The 19,524-nt window shown below is 57.2% G+C and overlaps 1 protein-coding gene across 3 annotated transcripts in view, besides 3 other annotated features; it reads left to right on the top strand.

Annotated features, from left to right (window-relative positions):
- Positions 1 to 11,300, top strand: part of RERE (arginine-glutamic acid dipeptide repeats) — a 465,237-nt gene extending 453,937 nt beyond the window's left edge. For all 3 annotated transcript variants that reach the window (NM_001042681.2, NM_012102.4, NM_001042682.2), the window contains 8 exons: positions 860 to 1,021; positions 1,828 to 1,941; positions 2,214 to 3,592; positions 3,718 to 3,940; positions 4,788 to 5,508; positions 7,458 to 7,604; positions 8,105 to 8,285; positions 8,584 to 11,300. In NM_001042681.2, the coding sequence (NP_001036146.1) occupies positions 860 to 1,021; positions 1,828 to 1,941; positions 2,214 to 3,592; positions 3,718 to 3,940; positions 4,788 to 5,508; positions 7,458 to 7,604; positions 8,105 to 8,285; positions 8,584 to 8,617 (2,961 nt within the window). In that variant the 3' untranslated portion in view covers positions 8,618 to 11,300. The remainder of the gene's footprint in view (positions 1 to 859; positions 1,022 to 1,827; positions 1,942 to 2,213; positions 3,593 to 3,717; positions 3,941 to 4,787; positions 5,509 to 7,457; positions 7,605 to 8,104; positions 8,286 to 8,583) is intronic.
- Positions 3,466 to 3,965: an enhancer, noted in NCBI's record as "H3K4me1 hESC enhancer chr1:8419799-8420298 (GRCh37/hg19 assembly coordinates)". NCBI's record gives its function as "activates a minimal SCP1, AML or CMV promoter by ChIP-STARR-seq in naive H9 embryonic stem cells {active_cell/tissue: H9 hESC(naive)}" and the evidence as "EXISTENCE:reporter gene assay evidence [ECO:0000049][PMID:30033119]".
- Positions 3,966 to 4,467: an enhancer, noted in NCBI's record as "H3K4me1 hESC enhancer chr1:8419297-8419798 (GRCh37/hg19 assembly coordinates)". NCBI's record gives its function as "activates a minimal SCP1, AML or CMV promoter by ChIP-STARR-seq in naive H9 embryonic stem cells {active_cell/tissue: H9 hESC(naive)}" and the evidence as "EXISTENCE:reporter gene assay evidence [ECO:0000049][PMID:30033119]".
- Positions 13,021 to 13,841: an enhancer, noted in NCBI's record as "H3K4me1 hESC enhancer chr1:8409923-8410743 (GRCh37/hg19 assembly coordinates)". NCBI's record gives its function as "activates a minimal SCP1, AML or CMV promoter by ChIP-STARR-seq in naive H9 embryonic stem cells {active_cell/tissue: H9 hESC(naive)}" and the evidence as "EXISTENCE:reporter gene assay evidence [ECO:0000049][PMID:30033119]".

Here is a 19,524-nt window from a genome sequence, read left to right as displayed (position 1 = left end):
AGTGTGTTTGTGATTTTTTTTAAATGTTTGATCCCGTTTTGGAAACTTCCGATACATTTTTCTGCTCACTGCATAGCTCCTCCCATAAAGAGACTTTGTTTCCTAGGTTGGAAATGTGCCAGGGACTTTGGGAGAGGCTTTTTCCAGGTTTGGGGCTGAGGGTACTGACAGGGTCTTTCCCTTCAGCCTCCCTTATGGCCCCTTCTGGCAGGTGGGTGGGACCATCCACTTTCCTCTGCCCCTTGTATGCCGTTGAGGCTGCTGGCAGCCCGGCCCCCGCTCACTCAGAAGGGAGCAGGTCAACCAGCCAGAACCATTGTCTCCTGATCTCTTCTGAGCCCTCATGGCTTTGCAGAAACATGCTGAAGCGCTTGGCGGCTTGGGGAGCTGAGCTGCTTTACTTGACAGCTTCATCTCTTTGGGTCACTTCCTGTCCTGTCAGATTAAATCCACAAGTGTTTGATTTCATTTGGTTTGGTTGGGAGAATGGACGGTTATGAGGAATAAACAGAAAGGGTGTAGGGTGCTTTAAAGATGGCCCCAGGCGACTTTCTGCCGCTCAGAAAGTGTGGTTCATTTCCAGCACACGTTGTTCAGGACAGTCCCTTGGGATGAGTGCTTTAGGTTTGAGAACCGCCCTCTGGCGTGAGCCCACTGATTTCCCCACCTCTTCCCTGAGCTCCACACCGACCTTCATGCAGCCAGGGACAGGCAGGGCGGCCTGTTGTTTGCCAAGGTCTGGGATTTGCTGAGAGGCTGATAGGGTGTGCCTTCAGGCTTCTGCCTGTGGGTTGGGCTCAGGTGGGTCCACATGGGGACTGGGAATCTGGTGTCACCAGTCTTCGGTTTGGGTGGGCAGATGTCGACACTACGCAGTGGTCGGAAGAAGCAGCCAGCCAGCCCTGATGGTCGCACCTCACCCATCAATGAAGACATCCGCTCCAGCGGCCGGAACTCCCCCAGCGCTGCCAGTACCTCCAGCAATGACAGTAAAGCAGAGACAGTGAAGAAGTCGGCCAAGGTCAGGTGCTGGGGGGATAGTAGGGCCTACTCTGTCCCTCCCTCACATTAAAACTGGTTTGCTGGTATTCGTGATCAGCTCCCTCAGACACGAGGATGCAGCTCATTCATGGAGCCTGTCTGGACACCAGCATTGTCCTGGCCTAGGGGCTGCAGACCGAAGGCTGGGGGCCTAGAGAAGGGGGCTCGAGCACCAACTCTTGGGGGCCACCTCTGCCTCAAGCTTCCCAAGTTCTCAGAAAGTGTGGGGAGTGGTTAGAACGGCTCCCTCCAGAGCCAAGTACAGTCCTCCCTTGGTATCCATTAGAGATTGGCTCCAGAGCCTCCACCGCCCAGGATACCAAAATCCACAGGTGCTCAAATCTCATATACATCGACACATGGTTTGCATGTGACCAGTCACATCCTCCTGTAGACTCTAAATCATCCCTAGGTTACTTCTACTGCCCAGTGCAATGTAAATGCAGTTTAAACAGTGGTTCCACTGTCTAGTTCAGGAGATAATGACAAGAAAACATTGTGTGCACGTTCAGTATAGATGTAACCATCACAGTCCTGCCTACATTTTCAGTCCATGGTTGCTTGAATCTGAGGATGCAAACCCACAGGTGCAGAGGGCTGGCTCTCATTCCCACCCCCAGATACGTGTTCCTTCTTGGCCCCAGTTGACCCTTCTAGAGCTTTTTGCTCCTGGAGATGGAACTCAGAATGAGGGAGCAAAGTGTCTGCAAACCGTCATTTCCTTGCTGAGGCTGATGGGATGGTCTCCCTTGGCCTGATTGCTCCTTGTGGGCTTTTCCCCTGCAGAAGGTGAAGGAGGAAGCCTCTTCCCCTCTTAAGAGTAACAAACGCCAGCGGGAGAAGGTGGCCTCTGATACGGAGGAGGCTGACAGGACCAGCTCCAAGAAGACAAAAACGCAGGTGAGGTTTGCTGCTGAGCCTTGCTGAGTAAAGCTAATGCTTCTTCAGAAGCCCCCAGCCGGGGTTCTCCCTAGTTGGTGGCCGTGCCCTGTCTCCTAGGGTGGGGCTGGAGTGGCCTTTGACACTGGCTGGGTCAGGGCACGACCTGTGGTCCCGGAGCCAAGCTTGCTGCTTCATCTGCACAAACATTACTGTGTGTCCGGCACTGGTGGTGCAGAGCAGACAGGGCTCTGCCCTCCTGGGACTTCCATCCTTCCCTTCTCTGACTCCAGGAGATCAGCAGGCCCAACTCGCCATCTGAAGGTGAGGGAGAGAGTTCAGACAGTCGCAGCGTCAACGATGAGGGTAGCAGTGACCCCAAAGACATCGACCAGGACAATCGCAGCACGTCCCCGAGCATCCCCAGCCCCCAGGACAATGAGAGTGACTCGGACTCGTCAGCCCAGCAGCAGATGCTGCAGGCCCAGCCCCCAGCCTTGCAGGCTCCCACTGGGGTCACCCCAGCTCCCTCCTCAGCTCCTCCAGGGACCCCTCAGCTGCCCACGCCAGGGCCCACGCCCTCTGCCACTGCAGTTCCCCCACAGGGCTCCCCCACGGCCTCCCAGGCCCCTAACCAGCCACAGGCTCCCACAGCGCCTGTTCCCCACACCCACATCCAACAGGCACCGGCCTTGCACCCCCAGCGGCCGCCCTCACCGCATCCCCCGCCGCATCCCTCGCCACATCCCCCGCTGCAGCCTCTGACTGGGTCGGCGGGCCAGCCTTCTGCACCCTCTCATGCCCAGCCCCCACTGCACGGTCAGGGCCCACCCGGCCCTCACAGCCTGCAGGCTGGGCCCCTGCTGCAGCACCCAGGCCCCCCACAGCCCTTTGGCCTCCCTCCCCAGGCCTCCCAAGGCCAGGCCCCTCTGGGGACCTCCCCAGCAGCAGCGTACCCTCACACCTCCCTGCAGCTGCCAGCCTCTCAGTCAGCGCTGCAGTCCCAACAGCCTCCACGGGAGCAGCCCCTGCCACCAGCGCCCTTGGCCATGCCCCACATCAAGCCCCCGCCTACCACTCCCATCCCCCAGCTGCCGGCGCCACAGGCCCACAAGCACCCTCCCCACCTCTCGGGGCCCTCACCCTTCTCCATGAATGCCAACCTGCCTCCCCCTCCAGCCCTGAAGCCCCTGAGCTCCCTGTCCACACATCACCCCCCGTCGGCTCACCCCCCACCCCTGCAACTCATGCCTCAGAGCCAGCCATTGCCCTCCTCGCCCGCCCAGCCCCCCGGGCTGACCCAGAGCCAGAACCTGCCCCCGCCCCCTGCCTCCCACCCCCCTACAGGCCTCCACCAGGTGGCCCCCCAACCCCCGTTTGCTCAGCACCCCTTTGTCCCTGGAGGCCCTCCTCCCATCACCCCTCCGACCTGCCCCTCCACCTCTACCCCACCGGCGGGACCTGGCACCTCGGCCCAGCCACCCTGCTCTGGTGCGGCGGCTTCAGGAGGCAGCATAGCGGGGGGGTCGTCCTGCCCACTCCCCACCGTCCAGATCAAGGAGGAGGCTCTGGACGACGCTGAGGAGCCTGAGAGCCCCCCTCCCCCACCAAGGAGCCCGTCCCCGGAGCCCACTGTGGTGGACACCCCCAGTCACGCCAGCCAGTCAGCTAGGTACGCTTCCTAGGGCTCCAGGACGGGTCAGGCACAGGTGGGCTGGTGGGGGCAAGTTCTGGTGGGAGGGAGGGCCGGGGTGGGTCTCGGCAGGAGCTCCCAGCAAGATCTGTGGCTTTTCTCAGGTTCTACAAACACCTGGACCGGGGCTACAACTCGTGTGCCCGGACAGACCTGTACTTCATGCCTCTGGCCGGGTCCAAGCTGGCCAAGAAGAGGGAGGAGGCCATTGAGAAGGCCAAGCGCGAGGCTGAGCAGAAAGCCCGAGAGGAGCGAGAGCGGGAGAAGGAGAAGGAGAAGGAGCGGGAGCGGGAGCGAGAGCGGGAGCGCGAGGCAGAGCGGGCGGCTGTGAGTCCAGGGTTGGCGAGGTGTGACGGGGGGCGCTGGTCCATCCTGCGCCTGGGAGCCACGCTGGGCCACCGAGCTCTGCCCTTGGCTGCCTGACTCGGCCTCCTGGCAGCTAGAGGGTTGGGTGCTATTTACACCCTGTCTCCACACCTCTGACGGGTGCTGCACATCCGAAGCTGCCGGGGTAACTGCGCATGGCAGGTCTAGGCTGACTCCCAGCAGTGACTGTGCGTCCTCCTACCGGAGGGCCTTCGAGGAAAGGGCCTGTCCTTCTCCTGCAGCCTTTGGGTTCATAACTTCTAAGTAATTTGAAGGAGTCGGGGAGAAGCACAAGGGGGCGCCTTGAGAGAAGACCTGAGCACTCAGGCGATAAGCAGGCTGCGAGGGGCCTCTCCAGCTGCCCTGCCTTTGTGGCCCCCTCGTGGGCTGGGTGCTGTGGTGGTGGCCAGCTCTCTGCTGTCGCGGGGAGGAAAGGGCAGCCAACCCAGGAAGTGGCATGAGGGACTGCCAGTGAGGTTCCTGGCCTGCTGGGCTCACTCACCCATGCCCCCCAGCTGTCACTCCCAGACACAACCCTCACACGTAGACAACCCATGCATGAGCTTAGTCTCACAGGGACACATTCCCATCTGGGCCTGAGGGGAGCTGCGGGCACAGGTGAGCCCGACCCTGTGGGGCCTGGACTGCATCCTGGTGTCAGGCCAAGGCAGGGCCGGGTCTCCGTGGAGGGACCAGGTTGGCCTGTCAGAGCAGGCCAGGAGCAGGACCAGGCCCACCTCCGCAGTGTGGACCAAGCGGAGACCCCAGGCGCTCGGGGGACCCCTCACGCTTTCTTTTCCTTCTGCAGAAGGCGTCCAGCTCAGCGCATGAAGGTCGCCTCAGTGACCCACAGCTCAGTGGTCCTGGCCACATGCGGCCATCCTTCGAGCCACCACCAACCACCATTGCTGCTGTGCCCCCCTACATCGGGCCCGACACACCTGCCCTTCGGACTCTGAGCGAGTACGCCCGGCCCCACGTCATGTCGCCCACCAACCGCAACCACCCCTTCTACATGCCCCTTAACCCCACGGACCCCCTGCTGGCCTACCACATGCCTGGCCTCTACAACGTCGACCCCACCATCCGCGAGCGGGAGCTCCGGGAGCGGGAGATCCGAGAGCGGGAGATCCGAGAGCGGGAGCTGCGGGAGAGGATGAAGCCGGGCTTCGAGGTGAAGCCCCCAGAGCTGGACCCCCTGCACCCAGCCGCCAACCCCATGGAGCACTTTGCCCGGCACAGCGCCCTCACCATCCCCCCGACCGCCGGGCCCCACCCTTTTGCTTCTTTCCACCCGGGCCTGAACCCCTTGGAGAGGGAGAGACTGGCCCTGGCGGGCCCCCAGCTGCGGCCCGAGATGAGCTACCCTGACAGACTGGCAGCCGAGCGTATCCACGCAGAGCGCATGGCATCGCTGACCAGCGATCCCCTGGCCCGACTGCAGATGTTCAACGTGACTCCGCACCATCACCAGCACTCTCACATTCACTCCCACCTCCACCTCCACCAGCAGGACCCCCTCCACCAAGGTGCGTGCCCCAGCGTGGCAGGTGGGACAGAGGCACGGGGAGGGGTGCAGAGCCTGATGAGTGACAGTCACCATCCAGGAGCGGAAACTGTTCTTTTCTGAACAGATCCCTCATCCCTGGCAGATCTTAGAAGAGCTCAGCATCCACTACCGTCATGGTTTTGCTGTATCGCAGTCTCTCCTCGGCCCCGCAGCTCTCCAGAACTGCAAGGCCTCAGACAGCTGCAGCACACGGGTGAAGCCTGGGTTCTTGGCCCTGTGCCTGGGATGGAGGGAAGTGGCCTAGGCCCACAGGGCAGGGTAAGGGCAGCAGAGCAGTGTCATGTGGCCTTTGGAGCCAAGGAACGTACAGATAAGGCACTGGGCTACTCAAGGGTGGCTGAGGGAGAATGAAAAGCACAGTCCTCTTCCCTTGAGGAGCGAGGCTGGGCAGGCCTCCTGCTGGCTTTGGCTGAGTTTTCCGAGCTGACCCACCTGGCCAGGGCTGCTCAGTCCTGTCCACCCTGGAAGTAGGAGCTCCTTAAGGCCACTCATTGACCAGCTGTGGAGAGGCTGCTCTGAGGCAGAGGCAGGCCCAGCTGGCATCCTCACTCCCTCTGCAGCCTGGTGAGATGGCGCAGGGGGTGGCTACTGTGCTTACGAGGAGGCAGGTTCACCTGCTCCATGGGACTTGGAGTACAGGTCCTGTGGGACAGCCTACGTGCAGGGCTTCCTCACTGGCCACCCTCCAGTGTGGGGCAGGATGACTGATAGAGCAGGGCCCAGAGGGAGGGCGGGGAGCCACCTTGCTTGGAGGCACCAGGCGCCTCCCCTGCCCCTGTACCCAGTCCTGACATGGGAGAGCACTCACCATTGCCGTCCTCATATCTGAAGCTCTGTTGGCACCTGGTGTAGACCTTACAAGCCTCAGTATGAGCAGTGTTGAGGACAGGTAGTCATTTGTTCATTCATGCATCATTCATTCAGCAAGTGTTTACTGAACCCCTGGAATGTGCCAGGCACAGTTGTAGGTGCTGGCAGAACCCCTGTCCACATTTACCTTCCAGTTTGGGGAGATAGTTGAAAGACGTGTGCCACGTTGTGAGAGGCAGAAAGTATATGTTCTGGAAAAAAATAAATCCAGAAGAGGGGATCAGGAGAGCTGGGCGCAGGGGCAGTATGGCGGTTTCGAGAAGGCCGTCAGGAGAGGTCCGCTGAGGAGGTAGCAGAAACATGGAGGAGATGAAAGGGCAAGCTGTGGGAAATCGGGGCAAGAGCAGCCACAGAGGCAGAGCGGGGGCTCCCAATCTTCCAGGGACCCCAGGGCAGCATGGCTGGAGGTGGCAACCCTGAAATCCCTGCCAGCGCCTGTGTTGGCTGGAGCTGGGAGATAGGAGGTGAGGGCAGGAGGTGGTGCAGTGAGGTCAGATCAAGGCAACGTTCTGAAGGGAGAGACGCAAGATTTGTGCCAGCAGAGAGGAGAGGGCAGTGCTGTGCCAGGTCCCCATTCTGCGCCACCCACTCTGCTGGCCTCCTTTAGGTTCTGCGAGTGAAGAGCAGGGAGACAGCCCTGGGCAGGGGGTGCCAGCCCAACACCCACTGGCGCAAGGCTGTGTGTTCCTGTGACCTGACAGGCAGAGGGCAGGCCCAGGTGGCCGGCGAGAGGGACCCTGCTGATCCCGGGTCCTCGACAAAACTGGCCTGGGATTGCCTGTTAGGGGCACTCCACAAGCGGACGAGGGAGTGCCTGCATCAGCGGTGGGCTCGTCACTTCTCTCGGCCTCTGGAGCTCTTGCTGAAGGTGGAGGCAGCCACTTTGGGGCAGGGCCACCTGTAGCCAGGTGGTGCATCCAGCCCTGGTGACCAGGAGCCATCCTGGGTGAGGAGGAAGTCATCGGTCATTCCAGCCAAGGGGGACAAACATTGAAGAGCTGCACACCGCCTCCATCTGGCGTTTTGTCCTTTCCTTAGGTTCAGCAGGCCCCGTTCACCCGCTGGTCGACCCCCTGACTGCCGGTCCCCACCTGGCTCGCTTCCCCTACCCGCCTGGCACTCTCCCCAACCCTCTGCTTGGACAGCCCCCACACGAGCACGAGATGCTTCGCCACCCAGTTTTCGGTAAGACTTCCCCTCCAGGAGGGGCGGGGAGGCCGTGTGAGGGTTGGGTTGGGGTCTGGTCTGCTGTCTTCATTCATTACTCATTCATTCATTCATGCATTGAGCAGGTGGGTTCGCTCCCCCTGCATGCAGGGGGTCCGTGGGGGAACAAGCCTCCTGCCCTCTGGGGGCTGTCTGGGGTAGGGGTCATAAATGCATCAGCCTTGCTAAGAGCCGGTGAAAGTAGCAGAGGGGACTCACGGCAGGTCTCTGAAGGAGAAGCACTTGGGCTGAGGCCTTGGAGGAGGGGCCAGGCAGGTCCAGGCAGAGGCACCCAAGGGCACCTCCTGCCTCCCCAGAGGCTCTGCCCTCTGGCTGTCTGCAGAGTCTGGGAGGGGCTGGCTCCTGTGTCCGAACTGGCACCTCTCCTGTGCTCTTTGCCGTTTGCTGTGCCTGTGCCGCCCTGGTCTTGGCCAGTCCTCTGGCTATTTCTGTAGCGCAGGTTGTTTTGTGTTCGGCAGGCACCCCCTACCCCCGTGACCTGCCTGGGGCCATCCCACCCCCCATGTCAGCAGCCCACCAGCTGCAGGCCATGCATGCCCAGTCGGCCGAGCTGCAGAGACTGGCCATGGAGCAGCAGTGGCTGCATGGACACCCCCACATGCATGGTGGCCACCTACCAAGTCAGGAAGATTATTACAGGTGAGGTGGGGTGCTGGGAGGGAGTGGAGGGGTTATCTGAGCCCAGGCTCCCAACCTCCCCGTGTGCCCAGGGCCAGGCTCCTCCCCCTCTGCCTGCTGGGCCCTGGAGGGGACATTGTGGAACCATGGTGATGGGAGAAACAGAGGAAGGGAGGTGTTGGGAGGGTAGGTCAGCTACACAGGAGGCTGCGGGCTTGGGGTTGGATTGCCTGGCTGTTGTCTTTGGGGTTGCCTCCAGCCTGCGTGACTGCCTGCCTAGGCCTGAGACTAAATACGCTTTCCTGTTTTGTCTTTCCAGTCGACTGAAGAAAGAAGGTGACAAGCAGTTATAAGTTATTTATTTGTTAACGCTGGCTGTGGAAACCCCAGTTCTTGGGGGGAGAAACAGGACTTTTTACATAAAATAGGAGCTGCAAAAGCAAAAAGAATATCTTCTAAAGATTTCTTTATATATTTAAAAACCCACAACTAAAAATGTATCCACATAGTAGTGTTCGTTTGTCGAGAGGATTTCCTGAGACTGGTTTGGATCTCCCTGCATGACAGTCCCCCAGAAACTTAGTGAGTCCTGGACTGGACTGAACATCCAGAAAGCTTCCCTGCAATCTTGGGGTTTGGCTTTAGTTTTCTTTTCCTTGATTTCTCAGTAGGTGCTAGAATCCAGTTCACACCCTTCACTGTGCGTGCAGACACACTGACACACTCCGCCACGAGTGCTCCAGAGCCCACGAGGCTTGCAGATCGGGGGCATAGGAATTTGGAATCCAAGAGCTATAATTTTTAAAAAAAAAAATCTTTTATTTTAATACATTGTAGGAAATCTTCATAATTGGAGAAAGTTCTGCAGCATGGCTTTTTACGTCTGTAAATAAATAATTTTAGAACAGCCTTTTTTTCTTCCATAAACTACTATTGTGATCTATTTTTTCCAGCCATGTCACTAATTGTGAATTCCTACCAACTATTGACAGAATACAGAGTTGATTTTTTAATAAAAAGTTATATATAATTATCCCTTTAATTAAAGGGAGCAAAGGGGCGTTCCACATGGACAGAGGCTTGGACCGAGGCCTGGTCACAGCAGCGAGCATCCAGGGTTTGCAGGGACGATGTTACAGACTCTGTTTTCTGCCTGGCGTTTCACTTGTGTCTGCTCCTAGCCTGTGCTCTGCCAGCAGCACAGACATCTGCTCCATCAGACCTCTTCCATTTTGCACAGGGAGTGCAGGAGGTGAATGTTCACTTTCTGTTCTCCAGTGTCACTGTTCTGTTTCCACGGGATGGAAAGCGCATGGGCCTGTGTCCATTGTAGATTTCCTTCTAGATTTCTGTGTACACACACTTGATTGTTCTGGATGAATGTCTTTTTTAATACTCCGAAAATTTCATCATCTAAGAAAATGATTCCATACAAATAACTCAGCACACAAGTGACCCAGGACATATGCCTGCCAAAGGGATGTGTTAGAAGGCTGCCTTCTCATGCGCATTGTCACTTGGATCTTGTGGTGAGGACGGCCCCATCTTTCTTGCCACAGATTGAGGCCACTTTTGAGCAAGGGAGATCCTGGAGTTAAGACAGGTGTTGGGGGCAGCCTGTATTTTACCCTAGGGGCAGGTCTGCATGGTGACCCCACATTGCACTGGTAAACCATTTGAGTCCCACTCTTCATCCTGGAAGTGGGAACTGGAGTCCCACCCACAGTGCATTCAGAAAGCATGCTGTGTGGGGGCTGCTTCTCAGGAGGCCAGGCCCTTCTGAGCGGAACCGTCCTGGAGAGAGCCTGCCCTCGTTTCCAGGCTGCAGCCGTAACGCACTTTCTCCCAGGCTGAGGGCGGGTGTTCTGGGGTGTCTGCCCTCTGTCGGCCCTGCTTCCTGCCAGGACGTGGCCTCTTCCGATCCTTTTCTCTCAGACACTGGAGGTCTCTTCTGCCATTGTGCTGGTCCCATCCCAAGAATTGTAGGACAGAGACCACACTGGGTCGGCGGACACAAAGTCCATCCAGGACCCAGGCCGCAGAGGGAGCAGGAAGAGATGCTGATAGTTTGATCTAGAAACCAGCAGCTACTGGCTCAAATTCAGGTTCTGGCGTCAAATAGCGACATTTCCAGTTTCTCTTAAAAACCGTGTTTGGTTTCAGTTGGGATAGGCTTGTTTTGTCTGTTGAAAATGTTTCTAGTTTTTTTTCTTTCATTTTTCTCTCATTCCATTTCTGCCTTAACTTTAGTTTGTTCACAGGGAGGCAAAGCTGACATGAACCTTTTGTCGTGGGACTTCAGGCCACATTGGCTTGAAGGCATTCGTTTCCTTCTGGGGTGGGGACAGGCCCTCATGGCAGGCTTGTTCCCGTGGCTCTGAGCGAGGCCTCTTCCTGCTGGGCTCCCAGACTCCTGCATCCAGGCCCCCACCTTCTCGGCTTCTGGTTTTTCTTTCTTTTTGGTAGAACACAACATCTACCATTCAGTTAAACCTTCTTTATCTCCTCCTTTGGCATCCATTTTTCCAAAGAAGAGTCGAGTCCTCTGAGGTCTGTGCTTGAAAGCCGTCCGAAGGCATTCTTGTTAGCTTTGCTTTTCTCCCCATATCCCAAGGCGAAGCGCTGAGATTCTTCCATCTAAAAAACCCTCGACCCGAAACCCTCACCAGATAAACTACAGTTTGTTTAGGAGGCCCTGACCTTCATGGTGTCTTTGAAGCCCAACCACTCGGTTTCCTTCGGATTTTCCTCCCTTTGTTCGGGGTTTGGTTTGGCTCCTCTGTGTGTGTCCGTATCTTGTTCGGTGTCCTCGAGGTTGAGCTTCACTCCACTGCGGCAGAGGCAGCGTGCACACTCGGATTTGCTACGTTTCTATATATCTTGAAGCTAAATGTATATATGAGTAGTTTGCCATGAGATAACACAGTGTAAACAGTAGACACCCAGAAATCGTGACTTCTGTGTTCTCTCCATTTGAGTATTTTGTAATTTTTTTGAAATATTTGTGGACATAAATAAAACCAAGCTACACTACAACCCTTGGGTGTCTCCCGTGCACTGTCTCATTCCTGGAGAGTGGGCGGGGATCCTGGCTGTTACCCCAGGTGGGGAAGGGACAGAGGGAGAGTCGGCTGTTCCCTGCTGCTCGGGACCCTGTTTGCATCCCAGAGTGGCTTCCAGAAACATCCTCTGTCTGGGAAGAGGCTTTCCCTGGTGAGGGTGCTGTCTTTCTTTGGAGGCTCCCCAAGCAGCGGGATGGGCCCTAAGCAGGCACTGGCATTGGGACTAAGAGCATCTTCCCCCACCCCTTGCCATTCACCCCACACCTCTAATCCGTGGGCGTTACCAGCATGTATGGGCATGTGGCACCCTGCCTGCTCAGGAGACACATCGGAACCACCCCATCCTAGCGGCCTCCTGCCTGGCCCCCATCTGCCTCCCCGTGGCCTACCAGTGCCCCCACACCCCACCCCCAGCCACCCAGCTCTAGAGCTGCACTCCAGGTGGAGGATGCATCCCAGGCCTAAGGGGCTCTAACCCTCCAAAGGGGCTGCAGGCAGCCTGCAGGGTGTGGACATGGCCACAGGGGGGCAGGCGTTGGAATTGCGCTGTGGCTTCAGAACCTGTTGAGGGCATTTTCCTGGAGCCTCAGGATTGTCCCCGGAAATGTGTGTCCACCCTTTGTCATCTGGGATAGGGCCATCAGTTTCTAGGTGTTTGCAGACATGGGGCAAGAGCAGCCCAGAAAGCTGACTGTTGGTAAACTGTCCTCAAACCAGGCAGGGTCCGCCACGTGGTAAAGACTTGGGGAGCAGCAGGCACCAGGCACTGCCTCGCTCAGGACCTGAGAAAGCTTCGCCATGCAAAGACCCGAGTGGCGCACACGATGACGGCCCTTGAGGCGAACAGCAGGGGTCCTGCTCAGCAGCGTGGCTGACCAGGGCACAGGGATGGGCCCGCAGGCTGGCCACAGGAGCCCCAGGTGGCTCTCAGTCCAGGTCTTGGGTGAGAGGATGGCACTGGGGTGGCTGGGAGAGGCTGGAATCCAGGCGCTGTCTTGGTGGGTCTCCGGGACTGTGCCCCTTAGGAAGCTGCAGGGTTTAACAGGTACAGGTCTGTGAAGTGTAGATTTCAGTGTGGTTAAATGGTTGGATCCAAGCGTCTTGAGGAGATAGTAGGTTCATGCTACAACAAGGCCTCATCAGAGCTGGGCAGCTTCTCAGGCATGAACAGCTGTGGCCATTGTCACCACTCTGCCACGCACCCATGTGAGGAAGAGGGCCGGGAATGCTAACCAGACATCTGCTGGGTGGACGGGGCGGAGGGAAATGGTGCTGTCCTCCAGCAGCACCCCAAAGCCAGGCCCTCGCCTCTTGCTGCCCCAACGACGTCCCACGTGCCCTCTGCCCCTTTGTTCCTGGAAACGCATCCTCAGCTTGAGCATGGTGGCTCAGCAGCCCCGCTGGTTCCACTGCAGGTGGGCTAGGAAGATGGCACTTTGCAGGGCATGGTGTAAGTCCCAGGGCCTCAGCACAGTGTAGGTGTGCAGCTGGGTGTGTGGCTGCATTGTTGATAATTGTCCATGGTAAGTCTAGGGAGGGAGAGACCTCACTTAAGCCTCACCTGGGTAAGTCAAGATCACGCATCTGAAGGGCAAGGATGCACCGTGGAGAGATCAGCGGTGGCCTCCCACACACACACGAGATTGCAAGCTTCCAGGCCCTCAAAAATCAGCACTGGTGAGCTATACAATTGTGGATGTGATCAGCTGATGAGTGGTGGCGGGGGGCGGGGGGGGGGGGGGTCAGGGCCAGAGCCCTTCTGTGTGGAAGCTGAGATGTGGGGAGCCGTCATCTGAGCTAAGAGCCCTCACTAGCCCCAGCCTGACCACATGGTGAGACCCAGGGCAGTGTGACTGGGCACCAGCACAGACTTCAGTGACCACCATCAGCCTCACCTGACCAGCCCAGAAGGCTTGGGTACATATCTGAACTCAGAGCTTTGAAATCAGAACCAGCTACCCAGATACTGGGGATGAAGCTGCCAGGCCCCAAAACCAGTGGAAAAGTCTGTCCTGCACTGGACCCCTGGGGCCCTTCCTGCTGCCCAATGGAGACCGAGGAACAGCGGGGTCCTTGGCCTCCCTACCTCCTCCTAAGGAGGATCTGCCAGATGAGCCAGCCAAGGGATGCAGCCGCACATTTGGCCATCCGGTTGGACTGATACGGGCTGCAGGATAAAGCAAGCCCTTTCTGGTTCATAAGGTTCCCGGACCTCCCGTTAGAAGGCGGGGCCTGGCTGGAGCTGGCATCCATCGTGGATCCCCAGGGGGCCAGGAACAGCCTCCTGCTCAGCCCCTGATGAGCTCCAGCTGCAGATGCCTCACCCGGTCCTCTCGGAGGCGGCATTGTCGGCCTTTGACAGTCTCGGTATCTGAGGTCCTTTACCTGAATCCCCACTGGGTTCCTAGCTGCCCTGGAATCCTTGGCAACTCAAGTTCTGGGACCTGGTTCTCTGCTTCTCCAACTCAAGGTGGCTTCTCTAGTGGCTGTCTTTGTCAAGAGTGGTCATTGTTCCCTTTTGACACCTCAGGGACCCAGGCTGCAGAAGTCCCCCTGTATCTCCCACAGCCCAGTTCTGTGTATGCACAGGCACCCGGGCCCCTTCTTAATGAACCAAGTTTGTGGAAGGCACTTGCTCTGCAGATATTGGAGGGATGGATGGATGGGTGGATGGACCCTGCTGGATGGATGGATGGATGGATGGATGGATGGACGGACGGACGGATGGACGGACGGACGGGCCCTGCAGGGCAAGGTTCCTTGCTGCCAGTCCAGATGTGCTATTGGAAAGTGGGTGTGAAGGACCAGATAGAAGGACCTTTTGGGTTGACTTCGGAAGGCTTCCCAGGGACGCCTCTGCTGGGCACCTGGAGACCCTCCCTTCACATTCTCTTGACTGTGCCTGCCGTGTGGGCCCTGCAGTCCCTCTGACTCCAACCCTGGTTGACACCATCGTAGAAGTGGGGAATGGGGCTTGGGGGATCAGCTTCTGATGAACCCCTAGGGTTTGAGTATCCATTGGAGCAAATTAAAAACAGGCTTTTAGAGCACCTTTTAGTTGTCCCAGAGAGGATTCCTGAGGCCATTTCTTGCCTATCCCACTGTTTTCTGGGCATGTGACCACCCAGTCCCCCCCACCCCCCAATCCCCTTGGACCCTGCTGCTGGGCAGCCGTCGAACAGAGTCCATCCCCATCCTGGCCACCAGGTGGCAGTCGTTACAAGGCCCAGGTGCTTGCCCTGGGCCCGCGGCTGCCACAAGACCTGCAGCTCTGGTGTAGGGGCAAGTCAAGGCCCCCGGCGATGGTGGGGAAGGCTGGAGGGTTTGACAGCGAGCATTGTGTAAGAGATCCGACGTTTCCTCGAGGCAGGCGGCCGGACAGGCGGGTCAGAGATCAGGCAACTGGACAGGCCTCAGCAGAGCGGGTTGTGGAGATGGCTGGGAAGAGGGGGCTGAGTGTGGGCAGGTGAGGCTGATGGCTGTGGGCAGGCAGGGCGGGCACGGCTGTGAGAATGAGGGCAAAGGCCTTGTCTAGAGAACAGGAGGTTTCTTCTGTTCTCCGCTGCATCCCCCAAGGCTTGGGAGGTACCCGGTAGGAACTCAATGTTCCTTGTGTGGAAGAGAATCCCAGGATGGCATCAGCAGCGGATGACTTCCAAGAATCATGACTCCCATAACTAACCGCGCCCCCACTCCCCGACAAGCCCCCTGAGCAGCTGCTGGGGGTCCTTGTGTGCCACAAAAGTACCCACCCCCAGTTCCAGACACCTGCTCCTTCCCTCTACGGATGCCCTCCACCCGCTCCCCGCTGAGGATGATACGTCACGCCCCACGCACCCGAGTGGATTCTGCAGACACACTCTGAGCAGGTGCAGGGAGGGCCAGGACCTCCCGACTGCGGGGGGGCCAGGCAATTGTCAGTTCTTGCATATTCCAGGGAAATCATCCCTGTTCCCCCAGAAACCTGTAGCCCAGCCTGGTGAGTGTAGGAATGCCACCTTACCGGGTCCCGGTTCCCGGTTCTCCAGGGAATGCCACCTTACCCTGTCCCGGTTCCCCAGGGAATGGTCCAGGGTTAGCCCAACAGCCTAGGGAGGAAGAAACACAAAACCCAGGGAGGCGATGACCTCTAGGGCAATTCCTTTGATGACGTTCAGTTTCCATGCTAAGTGCTGTGGGCAGTGCTCGATGGCTGTTAGGTGTGTTTCGTTTCTGAGTGGCATCAAGGAATGGGAGCCACTTTCCAAGTTTGCTGACAGGAAAGTCAGGAGTGGCTTCAGATCTTGGTGATGTGGTTTTTGTTTTGAGTGGCCTGAGAAGCATGAGTCTCACAGAGCGCTGATCGATAAAGCAAGAGGCCTTCTCCCGCTGTCCCCTCGCCTCTGAATAGGATGAGAAGCTCCCTCCAAGCTGAGCTCCCTGGGGAGCGAGCCCTGGGGAGCGAGAAGGCCTCCCTGCAGCAGCACAGTGTTCAGGAGACAGACGGGCAGGAAGCTGCCCGCCCTCAGGGGCTTGGCCGGCTCACAGCGCTCCTAAGGCACTCAGCGGCATGAGGCTGGACTCAGACTCCCCGGGCTCAAACTCCACCCTGTTGTGACGTGGGCCAGGTACTGGGTGTGCTTGCCTCAGGATCCAGATCTGTCAAATGGGGGAATGATACCTCTTTCCCAGCAAGGTCGGAGAATGGATTAAGATTCATTCACACGTGGCCTCGTGTGTAGTGAGGACTTCACAAACAGCAAGCAGCGGTGACTACCCTCATCATCACAGCTTGATTCTTTTTTTTTTTTTTTTTTTGAGACAGAGTCTCGCTCTGTCACCCAGGCTGGAGTGCAGTGGTGCAATCTCAGCCCACTGCAACCTCTGCCGCCCAGGTTCAAGCGATTCTCCTGCCTCAGCCTCCCAAGTAGCTGGGACTACAGGCGCCCACCACCATGCCCAGCTAATTTTTTGTATTTTTAGTAGAGACAGGGTTTCACCGTGTTAGCCAGGATGGTCTCAATCTCCTGGCCTCGTGATCCACCCGCCTCGGCCTCCCAAAGTGCTGGGATTACAGGCGTGAGCCACTGCGCCCGGCCCACAGCTTGATTTTTAAGTAGAGAGAAATCCTCTCTGAGATGTGAAAGTCAAACGAATGTGGCTCTCAGTGAGTCCTAGGCCTCGTGGTTTGGAGCTGGTGGCTGCTCCCACTGCCATCTGCTAGGAATAGACCTGGAAGTCAAGGGCAGCTTTTCGGACCCGGCCAGAGGGCAGTACTCCCACAGTTCGGGAGGCAGGGCAGGTTCTCAGAAAAGAGAGGCTGACAGGGACGATTCCCACGTGTAGAAGCAATCTGTGTTTTGTTAGAAAGTTCTAGGAAGAGGGCCTAAGATTTGACAAGCCAAGAGTAAGCGGGAAGCCCCTTATTCTTCATTTTGACCAGTTCTGGGCAAAGACAGCCCAGACCAGAGGACAGCCACCCAACACCACATTTTCTAGGAAGTCTGAAGCTCTTCCAAACAACATAAATGTGGGGAGGGTAAGTCTGCAGTTCCAGGAAAAGCATGGGACTAACAGGGCCTGAGTCTACAGAGGCTCAAAGGAGCGGTGTGACTTTGAAAAGCCACTAAACCTCTCTGTGCTTCAGCTACATGTGTATCAGGGACCGTGAGACCCGCTTCACTGAGCTCATGACCATGAAGGGTAAAGCAGCATCACATGAAAGCACAGGGAAAGAATCACTGGCTCCAAGCAGGGTGGACTGCACGGAGGAAGTGGCATTTCAGACAGGTCTACATGGATGAATCAGATATTGATGGGCAGAGAAGAGGTGGACTTGGCCTGCAGGAAGATCCTAAACACAGGAACCGATTGTGGCCCACAAAGGTTCTGTGGCTGTAGTACAGGGGGCTGGCAACGTGGCGGGTGGCTGGCTCGGGAAGATGGGCTGGGCTCTGTTTGGTGGAAGGAATTTCTACCTGATTCCTTAGGGTCTGGGGAGCCAGGGTAGGTGTCATGGAAGACTAGAAGAGGGGATGGGCTCAGGCCCGTGTTTACAGCCCCCCAGCTTCAGGGTGGAAGATGGATGTGAGGGTAGACAGGAGGCCAGGAGTCCAGCAGGGGCGCAGAGAGGAGTGGTGGGGCTCCAGGAGGCAGCAGGCAGTGACACTGAGGAAGGCTATGGCCCATGGGGGAGGCCGGGGCTCAGGTGGGAAAATCATAACCAAGGTGGGGAGGCCGTGGTTGGGAGGGAGGCTGTGGCCCAGGTGGGGAGGTAGCCTTTCTGACTGGCCCTAAGTGGTCACAGCAAGATGATAAGACACTGTCATGAACGCCAGACTCCCCAAGGCTGGCAACAGGCCCCAGAACCCCTGTTGTTTGTTGTGGATTTGTGGTCAGGGATGTCTTATATGTCCCCAGAACACAGGGCCCATGCAGTGAGGGAACTGGGGGCTGCACAATCCCAGACCAGGCCCAGCTTGGCGACAACAGGGACCCGGCCGTGACCCCTCATGGCCATTAATCACCATGCGTGGAGGAGCCCTCCCAGGCCTCTGAGAAGGGGCCTTGGTGAGCTTCCAGCGTCAGGTGACGAAGATGGTCAGAGGCCAGATGGCGAGGGACTGCCACACTCACGAGAGCTTTGCCAGATCCACAAAGGGGCACTGGGAGGCAGTGGGCACAGCCCGGGCAGACCCAGGCCCAGCGACGCCTGCACGCAGCAGGCACATGGTGTCCATCTGTGGAATGAACCCTTGGCGGATGGAGGGGGAAGAATGACCCGAACCTCGCCCTCCAGCCCCTAGTCCCTGCCTGTGGAGTCAAAAGGCAGGATGGGCGCTGGCCAGCCACATCAGCTCCAAACTCTTTGAGATTTCAACTTTTGGGGCATTTTACAATCTGAGCATCTTGGTGCCTATGCTCCCTCGAGCCTGTCAAGCAAGTGCTCACTTCAGAGATCACTCCCTGGCTTCATCAGGACACTGCTCAAACGGCACCTCACTACTGAGGCCACCCAGACACGCTGCTGTCGCCCTGTCCTCCTTCCCTGCGCTTGCGCTGCACGGAACCTCAGTGAGCCATGTGTCTCCCTTCCTCTCACATCAGTTCCAGCAGGGCAGAGTGGACACTTACAGCTGGATTCCCAGGCCAACCACTGTCTGCCACACCCAGGCACTCGCTGGATATCTGGAGGGTGGATGAGTGGATAAGAGGATGGGTGGAAGGATGGATGGATGGAGAAATGGATATTTGGATGGGTAGATGGGTGGACATGTGGATGGATGGATATATGGATGAGTGGATATTCGGATAGGTGGATATTTGGATGAGTAGATGGATGGTTATGTGGATGGGTAGATGGGTGGATGTGTGGATGGATGGTTTTGTGGATGAGTGGATATTCAGATGGGTAAATATTTGGATGAGTGGATGGATGGTTATGTGGATGGACGGATGGGTGGATATGTGGATGGATGGATATATGGAGAAGTGGATATTTGGATGTGGATGGATGGATGGATGGATGGATGGATGGATGGATGGATGGATATATGGAGAAGTGGATATTTAGATGGGTGGATGGGTGGATATGTGGATGGATGGATATATAGATGAGTAGATATTCAGATGGGTGGATATTTGGATGAGTGGACGGATGGTTATGTGGACGGATGAATGGGTGGGTATGTAGATGGATGGATATATAGATGAGTGGATATTTGGATGGGAGGATATTTGGATGAGTGGATGGATGGTTATGTGGATGGGTGGATATGCGGATGGGTAGATGAATGAATGGATGAGAGAATAAATGGATGAATGGACAAGTGAATGAATATGAGGCCTTCTGATCCAAAAGACCTGTATACTGTGACTCTACCCTGGGATGCAATGTACAGAATGTATGGTCCAGTTAGACCAGGCTCACTCTACCTCAGCACAATTGACAGCTGGGTCTTGCTAGCTCCTTGCTGTTGGGGCGGTCCTGTGTGCCGTGGGAGGTTTACAGCATCCCCGAGTTGTGACAACCAAAGCTATCTCCAGACTTTGCCAGATGTCTTCCTGGGGGTGGGGGTGGGGTGGCAAAATTGCCCCTGGTTGAGAACCATTGAATTACACCTTTACTTTCAAAAAAAGATTCTTACAAACCTCCCCTGCCCGAGTCCTCAGGAGGGTAACTCAATCCCATGGGGACCTCTCAGCCACCAGAGAGCAAT

The sequence above is a fragment of the Homo sapiens genome, chromosome 1, assembly GCF_000001405.40.
Source record: "Homo sapiens chromosome 1, GRCh38.p14 Primary Assembly".
In the NCBI taxonomy this organism is placed as follows: domain Eukaryota; kingdom Metazoa; phylum Chordata; class Mammalia; order Primates; family Hominidae; genus Homo; species Homo sapiens.
Note: the sequence above shows the minus strand (reverse complement) of the source record. Positions and strands in the feature narration are given on the sequence as shown.